Raw genomic sequence first — 14,505 nt, 5'->3', positions numbered from 1 at the left:
GAACTTAAATCATGCAGTCTCTCAGACTACAATGCAATCAAATTAGAACTCAAGATTAGGAAATTCACTCAAAAGCATACAATTACATGGAAATTGAACAACGTACTTCTGAATTACTTTCGGGTAAACAATAAAATTAAGGCAGAAATCAAGAAATACTTTGAAACTGATGAGAACAAAGAGACAACATACTGGAATCTCTGGGATGCAGCTAAAGCAGTGTCTTAAGAGAGAAATTTATGGCCCGGTGCAGTGGCTTACACCTGTAATCCCAGCACTTTGGGAGGCCAAGGCAGACGGATCACGAGGTCAGGCAATCAAGACCATCCTGGCTAACATGGTGAAACCCCATCTCTACTAAAAATACAAAAAAATTAGCCAGGTGTGGTGGCGGTCACCTGTAGTCCCAGCTACTCGGAAGGCTGAGTCAGGAGAATGGAGTGAATCAGGGAGGCGGAGCTTGTAGTGAGCTGAGATCATGCCACTGCACTCCAGCCTGGGCAACAGACTGAGACTCTGTCTCAAAAAAACAAAGAGGGAAATTTATAGCACTAAATGCCACATCAAAAAGCTAGAAAGATCTCAAGTTAACAACATAACATCATAACAAAAAACTAGACAACCAAGAGCAAACACTCCCCAATGCTTGCAGAAGACAAGAAATAACCAAGATCAGAGCTAAACTGAAGGACATAGAGACATGAAAAACCCTCCAAAAAATTAATGAATCCAAGGCTGGTTTTTTGAAAAAATTAATAAAATAGACCACTAGCTAGAATAATAAAAAGAAAAGAGATAAGATTCAAATAAATACAATCAGAAATGATAAGGTGGATATTACCACTGATCCCACAGAAATATAAACAACCATCATAGAATATTATCTCTGCACATAAACTAGAAAATCTAAAAAAATGGATAAATTCCTAGACACATACACCCTCCCAGGACTGAACCAGGAAGAAATTGAATCCCTAAATAGACCAATAACAAGTTCTGAAAATTGAGGCAGTAATAAATAGCCTATCAATCAGAAAAAAAAAAAAAAAAAACCCAGGAGCAGATAGATTCACAGCTGTACTCCACCAGAGGTACAAAGAAGAGCTGGTAGCATTCCTACTGAAACTATTCCAAATAATTGAATAGGAGGGATTCCTCCCTCATTCATTCTATGAGGCCAGCATCACCCTGGTACCAAAAGCTGGCAGAGATACAACAAAGAAAGAAAACTTCGGGCCAATAGCCTTGAGGAACATTGATGCAAAAATCCTCAACAACATACTGGTAAACTGAATCCAGCAGCACATCAAAAAGCTTATCCACCACAGTTAAATAGGCTTCATTCCCACGATGCAAGGTTGGTTCAACATACGCAAATCAATAAATGTGATTCATCACATAAACAGAAATAAAGATAAAAACCACATGATTGTCTCAATAAATGCAGAAAGGCCTTCAATAAAATGCAACATCCCTTCATGTTAAAAACTTTCAATAAACTAAATATTGAAGGAACATACCTCAAAATAATGAGAGACATATATGACAAACCTAAAGCCAATATCATACCGTAGAGACAAAAGCTGGAAGCATTCCCATTGAAATCCAGCACAAGACAAGGTTGCCTTCTTTCACCAATCCTATTCAATAGAGTATTGGAAGTTCCTGCCAGGGCAATCAGGCAAGAGAAAGAAATAAAGGGTATTCAAATAGAAAGAGAGGAAGTCAAATCAGTTGGCATGTTCCTATATCTAGAAAACTCCATCACTGTGTTTCAGCCCAAAAGCTTCTTAAGCTGACAAGCAGCTTCAAAAAACTTTCAGGGTACGACATCAATGTGCAAAAATCACTAGCATTCTAATATACCAACAACAGTCAAGCCAAGAGCCAAATCAGGAATACAATCCCATTCACAATTGGCACAAAAAGAATAATCCTACACAAAAAGAACAAAGCTGGAGGCATCATGCCAACTGACTTAAATCTATACTATAGGGCTACAGTAAACAAAACAGCATGGTACTGGTATAGGAACAGACACATAGGCCAATGGAACAGGATAGAGAACCCAGAAATAATAGTGCACACCTACAACTATCTGATCTTCAAAAAGACTGACAAAAACAAGCATTGGAAAAAGGTTTCTCTATTTAATAAATAATGCTGGTAAAACTTTCTAGCAATATGAGGAAAATTGAAACTGGACCTCTTCTTTATACCATATACAAAAATCAGGTCAAGATGGATTAAAGGCTTAAAGGGAAAACCCAAAGCTGTAAAAACCCTAGAAGAAAACCTAGATAATATCATTCAGGACACAGTCACAGGCAAAGATTTCATGACAAAGACACCAAAAGCAATTGCAACAAAGGCAAAAATTGACAAAAATTGATTAAACTAAAGAGTTTCTGCACAGCAAAAGAAACTATCAACAGAGTAAACAGAGAACTTACAGAGTCAGAGAAAAAATTTTCCAACTTTGCGTCTGACAAAAGTTAATATCCAGCATCTATAAGGAACTTAACAAGTTTACAAGAAAAAAAAAATTAAAAAGTGGGCAAAGGACATGAACAGACATTTCTCAAATACATACATACATATATATATAATATATATACATATATATATTATATATGTACATATATAATATACATATATATGTATATATACACATATATATGTATATATATATATACAACCAAGAAACATGAAAAAAATCTCAATATAACCGACCATTAGAGAAATGAAAATCAAAAACACAATGAAATACCTCACATAAGTCAGAATGGCTATTATTAACAAATCGAAAAACAACAGATGCTGGTGAGGTTGTGGATAAAAGGGAATGCTTTTACAATGTTAGTGGGAGGGTAAATTAGTTCAATCATTGTGCAAGACAGTGTGGCAATTCTTCAAAGATCTAGAGACAGAAATATTATTTGACACAGCAATGTCATTACTGGGTATATACCCAAAGGAATATAAATCATTTTATATACCCATAAATTTTTTATTTTACACCCAAATTAAAAAGACACATGTACATGTATGTTCATTACAGCACTATTCACAATAGCAAGAACATGGAATAAACCTAATGCCCATCAATGAGAGACTGGATAAAATGTGGTACATATACACCATGGAATACTATGCAGCAATAAAAAGAAACTAGATCATGCTGTTTGCAGGGATATGGATAGAGGTGGAGGCCATTATCCTTAGCAAACTAACACAGGAACAGAAAACCAAATACTGCATGTTTTCACGTATAAGTGGGATCTAAATGATGAAAACCCATGGACACATGTAGGGGAACAACACACACTGGGGCCTGTCAGAGGGTGGTGGGTGGGAGGAGGGACAGGATCATAAGAATAGCTAACGGATGCTGGGCCTAATATCTAGCTGATGGGATGATTGGTGCAGCAAACAACCATGGCACACATTTACCTATGTATCAAACCCGCACATCCTGCACATGTACCCCTGAACTTAAAAGTTGGAAATTAAACAAATAAAATAAAATACAGATGAACAAAAAATAATCGATTATATTTCTGAAAGTTCCCATAACAATTGACTAGAAAATAAAAATGTTAAAGGACATACTATTTACCGTGGCATCAAAATTATGTAATATAGTAAATCTAGACCAGATGTATAAGGTTTCTACATTGAAAACAATAAAACATTATTGAAAGAAACTAATAAATACTTATATAAATGTAGGGGTATAACGTTTATTTTGGAAAGACTTGATATTATGAAGAAATAAATCCTTCAATTCTTCTAAAACTTCTCAAAAGGTCATTAAAGTTACAACAGGATGTGTGGGTGTGGAGTGTGGTAGTGTGTGTCTATCTTTACAAATTATCTTAAAATTTAAATTGAATGTAACAGACTCAGAATAGTCAAAATACTATTCAGACAGACAAAGACAAAAGAATTATCACTAAAACAACTGGAAAAAATATTGGAAAAAATTAAATGTACTCGTGTCACATCATAAATAAATATCAAAACTAAGTATAATATAGGTGTAAATGTAAAAGACAAAACTAGAAATTTTCAGAATGTATTATAAGAGAATATCTTTATGACCTTGGAGTAGGATAAAGCTTTTTAAACAAAACACAAAAAACACTAAACCAGAAAAATTTTTTAATTGGACTACATGAAAATTAAAAACTTATAGCCTTCAAAAGATATAATCAAGGGAGATAAAGGCAAGCCAATGTACGGAAGAAAATATCACACACATATATGAATATATAAAGAATTCTACAAATCAAAAATAAAAAGCTAGCCAAAATAAGCAAGACAGTTAAACAGTTACTTCATAAAAAGGACAGTCCTAATGGCAAATAAATACATGAAAATATTTTAATCTTAGAAGTAATCAGAGAACTGAAATGAAAATCCCAAAGAAATACCACTAGAAACCCATTAATGACTAAAATTGAGACTGAAACATTTTAACAGGGATATAGATTAACAGAAACTATCACACAATGCTGGTGCAATTATAAACTGGGACAACCATTTTGAGAAGAGTTTGGAGTAAACTACTAATATTGAAAATACGCACATGCTATAATAGAAATTCCACTCCCATCTATATAACCAAGAAAGATGTGGACACGTGCAGCAAAAGATGTACACAAAACTGCATATTATTTACAAACATTTCAAACTGGAGAAAGCCCAAATGTCTACCAACATTAAAAAAGAGGAAGATCAAGAGAAGTTGCTAAATGGGTACAAACGAGCCATCCAATTGAAGAAATAAGAACTAGCGTTAGATAGATCAGTAGAGTTAATATAATTTGCAGTCATCTATTATACATTACAAAGTAGCCTTTTGAATTTGAATACAATTTTGAAATAGAATTCAAATGGTTCTGGTATAAAGAAAAGTCAAACATTTAAGGTAATGGATATCCCAAGTACACAGATTTGATCTTTACCAACTATATGAATGTATTAAATTATCACATATATCCCAAAATTATGTACATCTATTATGCATCAATTAAAAAAATAAAACAAAATGGATAACAATTTGTGCAATAATAAAACAATAGAATACTATGAATCAATGAAGGTGAACAAACTGCTACAAGCAACAACATGGATGAGTCTCACTAAACATAAACATTGATCAAAAGAAGCAGATAAAATGAATCATTTACTGTATGATTTGATTTATATGAAGTTTGACAACAGATGAAACTATAGTGTAATGATTAGAGATCTGTGCTTCAGTGAAAAAACTGCAAAGAAAAAAGCATATATTATAAAAGTCAGAAGCATGTTTACTTTGGAGGCTGGGGTGGTGAATCAGTGTTTGGACATGATCAGTACTGGACATGAGGGGGAATTTTGTGGTGGTGGCATGTTTTATTTCTTGACCTACATGGTGATTTTATGGTTGTTCATTTTGCACTTTACAATTCATTGGGTTATAATTTTTTGTACACTCCTAAACAGAATATATTTTAAAAATGAAAATATAAATTACTTTATTTTACATTTAAATATATATTATTTTATATATTTCATGCATATAAATCTTAGTATAAATAATTATACTATATGTTATATAATTATGCACATTGTGCCTTATTATAAAACTTTTACATATATAAAATAATCTTTATTTAAATGTAAAACAAATTAATTTTACATTTTTATTATAAAACAAGGCACATTTTATAATAAGGCATTTTCTCATGTTTAACTGTCACAGACTACAGAACAAGAGACCCTTGGGATCCCATTCCCAGATATACCTAACTTGCAAAATACCTAACCAAAATGAAAGTGAAACAATTTTATTCTAGAAAAAAGATATATTTACCAAGGATGATTGGAACGTCTTCTTTAATTACAAATTACTCATGATTTCCAAGAAAGTCTTTCTGCAGAAGGCAAGACTATAATCACTCTCAGAGCTATACAGTGTCCCCATTGTGCTGTTAGACAGGATGGTAATTAACATGGTCACAACTATAACTGTCAAGCACGAAAGCAATGCTGAGTGTATTTCTGATCCAGCTGCTATCAGCATGGGGTACAAAGATTGAAAATATTGCTAAGAAATCAGTCTCCTTCATCAAAATTGAGCTGGCTTTGAGCAGTAGTTCAGAAGCTTTCTGAGAACAAACACCAGTACAACTAATTGCTACCAAGAAAATTAATATAGAGGGCTCTATTCTGTATTTCACCTGTGGTTTATGTGCAGGTGTTCTAAATGCTTGCCAAGAAAGTAATATAAGTTGTCTCAGGAAACAAAAAAGAGGTGAACAGCATCTCTCTGAGTACACAAAAGAAATGTATCAATTGTCAAAACTAGTTACAGTCAAGATCAGCTTGTTATATTTTGTTATATAAAGCCTTTCATTTCTAGAAATTAATAGTGAATATTATTGGCACACTAAGCGAGCAGTGAGGGGTCATTGGTATGAGAGAAGGAATCAGAGGCCAGTGTTCTCCAGCAGAATTGAGTATAGAGTAAGACGACTATCCAAGAAATGGACTGCACAGGTTATGTCCCGTAGTGACTGCCTCTAGGGTACATACACAGGGCCACAAACAAAAGTTTTTATTTTTTTTCAGAGTCCCTTTCTACAAAATAATTTGATTAAAAATACACTACAAAAATCCATGAGTCTGTGAAAGATATAGCAAGTAGAAGTGAACAGGGGAAGAAGTTTAACTGCAATGCAGACCTAACAAAGTCTTGGCCAACCTGGTGAACACCTCTAAAGGGAATACTACCTGTCAGGGTATTTGATGTCAGGCTAAAATGGACAGGCCTTAGATATCTAACCCTCAGTCATCAGTTGTGGGCTTCCAAAGGAATGTTGTGACTTGGAGTGAAACAGCTTTGGGCAACTAAGGCAAATCCTGAAGAAGCTGAGGTCTGGAGGCTGCTTCTACTGACTTTTCCATAAACATTAGAGTGACAGCCTCTCCAGGATTGCTGCAGGCCTCTTTTTCTGAAGGAAAATGGAAGAGGGAGGGAGTGAAAGTTAACCTTAGGAAGGCAATTGATTCTCGTCGTCTTTCTTCTCCACTATCCATTCTAGAATTCCCTCACCATCAGCTACCAACTCTGCTGACCTTGGAAGCTTACCTGATGGTATGAAGCAAACACTCGTCTCTGAAATCCCTGAACCATGATCACTGTGCTTTTCTCCAGCTGAGATTTCTATTGCTGTCCATTTATAGTCACAATAAAGCAAGAAAGAACCAAGAGACATTGTCTTAGTCCAGTCTACTATAACAAAAATAGCATAGATTGTGTAGCATAAGCAACATACTCATTTCTAACAGTTCTGGTGGCTGGGAAGTCCAAGATAAAAGTGCCAGAAAACCTTGTGTCTGGTGAGGGCCCAATTATTGGTTCACAGACAGCTAACTTCTTATTATATTCTCACATGGCTGAGAGCAGAGAGAAAGGATGTAAGCTCTCTTCTGCCTGTTCTTATAAGTGTACTTATCCCAGCATGAGGGTTCTGTCTTGATGACCTAATTACCTCCCAAAGGCCCCATGTTCAAATGCCCTCACATTGAGTATTAGGGTTTCAATATATGAATTTTGGGTTGACACAAGTAGACCATAGGAGGAACTCAAGTAGATTACCTGATTTTATTTATATTCCTCTCTGTATTGTGAAACAGCAATCTGAACAGATGATAACCTTATTTTTGCCTGCTGGTTCCCAGAGAAACAGAGCTCAAACTGCCCAGGCAGCAGTGATAGCTTATGATTCAATGGAACTATTTTTGTACCACTGGTGAAAATGTTCCCCCTTTGGTAATCAGGACTTGTAGCTATGCAGAACTCAGAGTTGTAAGGAGAAGATACGCAAATTCTTCATCAGTCCCTGAAATTAATGGTATGAGGTACCATTCCTCTTCCTATACCTTGGTTTCTGAACTCATGCATTCCTTCCATAGAAGGCATGCACTACATACAGGTCTTTATGTAAATGTGTACAATGCAACCTAGACTATAGTGCCTTTTCTTGCAGAATATTGCTGCCAAGTTAGCACACCAGCTGTTGAGGTCCCTATGAGCAGCTGTTGAGGTCCCTGAGGTCCCATTGAAACAGGCTGTTTCAATGCTCTCTCAGGCCAGCAACTTGGAGTGACATGGCATGTAATATTAGCAATAGCTCTCACAGTAATGGGCCCATTTCCACAACCCCTTTGCTGTAAAATAGTTTATCTGGTCTGACACAATTTTATGTGGTACCACAAGCCAATGAATTAAATACTCTCTAAGTCTCTGGACAATGTGCTGATCAAAATTCTATTGACAAAAAAAGAAAACCAATAATCAACATGTCTGTGTAAAAAAACACTGGCTATTCTGGAACAGAGGGTCCTGATATAATCAACTTTCTATCAAGTGGCAGGTTGGTCTCCTGAAGAAATGGTTCTTATTGGGGTTTCAGAATTAGTCTGTTGCTAGTAGGTAGGAAATTCAAAGGCTAAGCTTGATCACGTGTTGTAAGTGGGAGTTCACAGTTTTGGGCCTAGGCACAGTTCCTATATCACTATGAAATGGACACTGTGGCCACTTCATCTATGAGCCTATTTTGCCAACATTGGAGTAGTTGTTGAAAGAGTCTGGCTAATGACAATTGGCTAGGCCATTTTGTGTACTTGGTTGTTTAGTGCCTCCTCAATTGTTGATATTCGCTGGTGGTTATTATGTGAAATACAAAGATCCTCAAACTTCATTCACTCCCATATGTTCAACCACATACATTTATCCCACATCTTCTTGTCCATGATCTTCCAATCTTTTTCCATGAATGTGTGTGTGCATTCTAACCTTGGGTCACTTCTCTTTTCATACTAAGTCAAGGCCTGGATACATCACAATCACTCTCTCCATTGGAAAGATTTTTTCTGTACCACAGTTTTTCAAGGCATCCTTGAGTAAGGTTATAGCATAGCTGGTATCCATATTTGGCCTATACTTACATACCAAGCTGACCCATCTGGAAGCCAAACTCAGAAATTTTTCATTTTTTTAAATTTTAGTCCTACAGTATGTCATACAGCCATAGAAATGAGCTGAGAAAGAAATGCTTGTACTATTACTTGTGGGAGCCATAGGGACCTCAACTACCTGTTTATGCAAATTTCTTGTGTCCTCTGAACCTGTTTGTGCTCAATCCTGGATATCACACTTTCATCTTATAATAGGGTTACTGTTGGTATTATCTGACTATGGCTTAGTAACACTTACAGGACCTAGCTCATGATAGTTCTGTCCACATGGTCACTTGCAGTCCCATGGTCAGGCCTGGTAGCTTGTCAAGAGTTATTTTTCAAAAGACATAATATTCCCTGGTTTTATGGCATTTCTCCATTACCCCAGGAACCTCTCTTGTGCTTCACACAAAATCAACATGGTCCCATTTCCTATCACTGATACTTCCAACATGTAGGTTCCAACAGATTGCATAGTTCAAAAAGAAATACTGCTTATATCACAGCCTCAGTCTGCTCAGAGCTCTTTCCTGCTCCATCCATACTCAAAGATAGCAACTTTTAAAATTTGTTTTGTCACTCAGCATCCAGGCAAAGCAGTATCCCTAGGTGTTAAATAAGCTGTCTCCAGAGCATAAAGTAGCCCACAAAGCACTGTGCTTTCTTAGTCATGGCAGAATAAGAAGCAATATGTAATAATTTAACTTTGACTTTGGACAAGGATGTACTGGCAGCCTCTGGCCACTGAACCTCTAAAATTTTACTCAAGTGGTCAGCCCCCAAATCTTTTAGGGTTTATTTCCTACTCTCTGGAGCAAATTTGTCTTACTGAGCCTGCAGCAAGACTAGCCATCTCTTGCTCATCCAGCCAGATCTACATATTATTGATGCAATGAATCAATGTAATAGTCTTCAGGATATAAAAAATGGTCCATATCTCTTTAGACTACATTGTGAAAAGAGAATTAACATAGTCCTGGAGAATAACTATATACCTGAGGCCATATTAATCATTCTAGCAAAGATACTTTCTTTGGCACGGTAGTTGTAGTTAGAGCTACTATTTACTTGAGCTTGCTGTAATGCAGAGTCATTCTACAGGATACATCTAGTTTCTGTAGTGGCCAAACTGGTAAGTTAATATTATATGTGATAAATATCACCATCCCTTCATTTTTTAGATTCTTAATAGTAACTCTATACTCTCCATCTATGCCCAGTTTTTCACTGTGCACTATTTTTTTAAATTTATTATCTTGGCTGAAGGCAGAGAGGGCATATTCAGAAGCTTTCATTAGGCCATTGCCCTGCACTCCAAGGACCAAAAATGCAATAGTGCCATCTTACAAGCATCTAAATCCCAATTATATAGTCAGGATAAATTAATATATAATTCAGGGTAAATGATTACCATGGGTTGTGAATGCACAACCTCAGTGACGTTTCCTCCCTGCAACTGAGCCTGGCCCAAAGGAACTGAATGTAGGAAATTCTTGGTTGGCTACCATCTTCAGGGTTGGGCAATAATTCCTTCGTTGAAGGGGGAATGGAGTTGCACAGCTCCTTGTCTACAACAATAGATTAAAATTCAGATGTAAAAGTAAACAGACAACTAATGAGAGGAGAATAATGTAATAGGGAAGAACAGGCTTTCAGAAATCAGCAATTTGTAGTTTCTAAGGGGAAAGAGATGATGCAATAAAAGTCCAGTTAGGAGCCAAGATAATCCAACAGATAAGAGAGTTGTATCACTACAATTGTCAGTAGCAAACAAAAGCAACACTCCACCTCCCCCTAAAATGAAATGTGATTTGTATAGATATCAGCTTCAAAGTAATTCCCCATGCTCTTTTTGCTACCTTTTTGCTGCTTTTGAACCTCACTTATAAAGTCTCTTAAGCCAAAATGGTTTGTAGACCATAATCAGAAACTTAAATTTAATTCTAAACATTAAGAAATACCAATTCAAAAGTTTTTTGTCAGAGTAGTGATATGATCTGATTTATACTTTTACTAGTTCTCTTAGGCTTCTCTATCAAGACTGTATTGTGAGGGGAAAAGAGTAATAAGTAGGCATTCCAGTTAAAAGACCATCACGCAAGAGTTCTGGAATAACAAAATAAGTCAGCTCCAACATAAGCACAAAAAACACTTGCCCAAAAAATGGTCAAAATCAACTTTTTTTACATTCTAGAAATTACCAAAGGCTTGCAACATTACAAGGAGCATTTTTTTGAAGAAAAATAGCTGAGTCTTCATAACGACAGCCAGTTTTGTGGCATGTTAATTTTCTCTATTTGCATCCCCCTTGCCACAGCTCTGCAATATCCTTCAAAATAATCAGTCTTGCAACAACAGTAGCTGTAAAACTCAACAATCTAGCAGCTACTGGAGAGGGCACTAGATCATCCCCCTAAGACTTACATACAAATATTGTTACTGTTTGGCATGTTTGGCAGCTCCCTAGAGAATTCTCATTCACAGAGCTTGTTTTTGTTTTATGTAATTCAGTATTCACTCAGTGGTATAAGCTCTATACCCAAGACATTTGTCAGAAACAATCAGTGGTAACTGTTTATCACAGCCGATTAGGGCAGCAATACCAATTGGAACAAACAAACAGAAACTAACCAAAAACTTTAGGTCTTAAAGTTCTAAATCTTTAAGGAATATGGGGAATAAAATGTTCTTAGGAAGACATACATCTAGAGATCTAGAAGGCCATGAACATGTGCAGGGCAATGTGCTTGCCCAGGAACAGTAGGAAAGGCCATAATCTCTCACCTCTGGCTGATGATGAGACTCTACAAAGCAGGATGTGAAGACTAAGGTAGAGTTGTTAATCAATGAAATCTTGAAGGCATACACTGACACACACTGTGTTACAACATAGCAACAACAACAAATATGAAAGTGAGGAATTCTGATGTCAACATTTTTCATATTATGCAATTTAAAATATCTAGTTTTCCACAAAAATATTGTGGCATACAAAGAAAGAGAAAAGTATGGCCTATGTATAAGCAAAAATACATTCACTAGAAGATATGCCTGAAGAAGCTCGGATGTTGGTTCACTAGACAGAGACTTTTAATGAGTTAGATATACATCTGTATGTGTGTACACATATATAAACATATTTTTCAAGTACTAATAAAAACCATGTCTAAAGAATTAAAGATATGTATAAGAACAATGTCATAATAAGGAAAATCAATAAAATATAGAAATTATTTAAAAAAACAAACAAAAATTCTGGAGTTGAAAAGCATAATAAAATTTTGAAATTTTATTTTGAAATGAAAATTTACTAGTGGGGCTCAACAGAAGAGTTGAGCTGGTGGAAGAAAGAAATAGCAAACTAGTATCTATTTTACTAGAAATAGAAAGATAGGTTAGTTGAGATTATCTAGTTGTATTAGTCCATTCTCACACTGCTATAAAGAAATACCTAAGACTGGGTAATTTATATAAAAAGAAGTTTAATGGGCTCATGGCCACAGGCTGTACAGGAAACATGGTGGCATCTGCTTCTGGGGAGGCCTCAGGGAGCTTTTACTCATGATGGAAGGCAAAGTGAGAGCAGGCGTCTTACATGGCAAGAGCAGGATTGAGAGAGAGGGGGGAGTGCCACACACTTTTAAACAACCAGATCTTATAAGAACTCAATGTCACAATGACATCACCAAGGGGGAATGGTGTTAAACCATAAGAAACTGCCCCCATGATCCAATTACCTCCCACCAGGCCCCACCTCCAACACTGGAGATTACAACTGAACATGAAATATGGATGGGGACACAGATCCAAACCATATCATTCCACCGCAGCCCCTCCCAAATATCATGTCCTTCTCAAATTGCAAAACAGTCATGCCTTCCCAACAGTCCCCTAAAGTCTTAACTCAAAAGTCCAAAGTCTCATCTGAAACAAGGCAAGTCCCTTCTTATCTATGAGCCTGTAAAATAAAAAAAAGGTTAGTTACCTCAAGATATGAATGAGGTACAGGAATTGGATAAATATTCCCTTTGCAAAAGGCAGAAATGTACCAAAAGCAAGGGGCTACAGGCCCCATGCAAGTCTGAAACCCAGCAGGGCAGTCATTAAATCCTAAATATCCAAAATAATATCATTTGACTTCATTTCTCACATCCCAGCCATGCTGATGCAAAGGGTGGGCTCCCAAGGTCTTAACCAGTACTAGCCCTGTGGCTTTCCAGGGTTCAGCTCCCACAGTTGCTCTCATGGGCTGTCACTGAGAGCCTGCAGCTTTTCCAGGCATGCGATGCAAGCTGTTGGTGGCTCTACCATTCCAGGGACTGGAGGATAGTGCTCTACATCTCACGGCTCCATGAGGCAGTGCCCCAGTGGGGACTCAGTGTGGGGGCTTCAATCCCACATTTCCCCTCTGCACTGCCCTAGTAGAGGTTTTCCATAAGGGCTCTGCCCCTGCAGCAGACTGCTGACTGGACAACCAGGCTTTTTCATACATCCTCTGAAATGTAGGTGGAGGCTCCCAAGCCTCAACTCTTCCATGCTGTGCACCCACAGGCTTAACAACACATGAAAGCTGCCAAGGCTTATGGCTTGCACTCTCTGAAGCAGCAGTCCAAGCTGTAACTGGATCCCTTATAGCCATGACTAGAACTGGAGTGGCTGGAATGCAGGGATCAGTGTCTTGAGGCTGCACTGGAAAGTAGGGCTCTGGGCCTCACCCAGAAAACCATTCAGTCCTCCTAGGCCTCCAGGCCTGTGATGAGAGGGGCTGCTGCAAAGGTCTCTGAAATGCCTTTGAGGCCTTTCCCTCATCCCCTTGGTTATTAACATTTGGCTCCTCTTAACTCATGCAAATTTCTGCATCCTGCTTGAATTCTTCCCCAGAAAATGGGTTTTCCTTCTATACTGCATGTCCAGGCAGAAAATTTTTCCAGCTTTTATGCTCTACTTCCCCTTTAAATATAACTTGCAGTTTTACATCATTGATTTGCTCACACATATGGGAATAGACTATTAGAAGCAGTCAGGCAACATCTTGACCACTTTTCTGCTTATAAATTTCTTCTACCAGATACCCTAACTCATCGCTGTCATGGTCAAATTTCCACGTATCCCTAGAGCAGGGGCACAATTCCTCCAAGTTCTTTGCTATAGCATAACAAAAGTGATGTCTGCTCCACTTCCCAATAAGTATCTCATCTCCATCTGAAATCTCCTCAGCCTGAAATTCATTGTCCATGTCAATACCAGCATTTTGATCACAGCAATTTAACAAGTCTCTAAGAAGTTCTAAATTTTCCCTCATCTTCTTGTCTTCTGGGCCCTCCACACTTTTCCAATTTCTGCCTGTGACCCAGTTCCAAAGTCACTTCTACATTTTCAGATATCTTTATAGCAATGTCCTACTCTTCAGTACCAATTTTCTGTATTAGTCTGTTCTCATGCAACTATAAAGAAATGCCTGAGATTGGGTAATTTATAAAGAAAAGAGGT

General features: G+C 37.1%; 1 long non-coding RNA gene across 1 annotated transcript; it reads right to left on the bottom strand.

Annotated features, from left to right (window-relative positions):
• Nucleotides 1–6,934: 6,934 nt before the first annotated feature.
• LOC105374440 (uncharacterized) lies at nt 6,935–12,024 on the bottom strand. The gene is made up of 3 exons (XR_925278.4): nt 10,427–12,024; nt 7,142–7,222; nt 6,935–7,004 (listed from the first exon to the last, which is right to left on the bottom strand). It is a non-coding gene; the product is annotated as an uncharacterized LOC105374440 (long non-coding RNA).
• Nucleotides 12,025–14,505: the final 2,481 nt, after the last annotated feature.

This window comes from Homo sapiens, chromosome 4 (genome assembly GCF_000001405.40).
Source record: "Homo sapiens chromosome 4, GRCh38.p14 Primary Assembly".
Taxonomy (NCBI): domain Eukaryota; kingdom Metazoa; phylum Chordata; class Mammalia; order Primates; family Hominidae; genus Homo; species Homo sapiens.
This window is presented reverse-complemented; position numbering and strand designations above follow the sequence as displayed.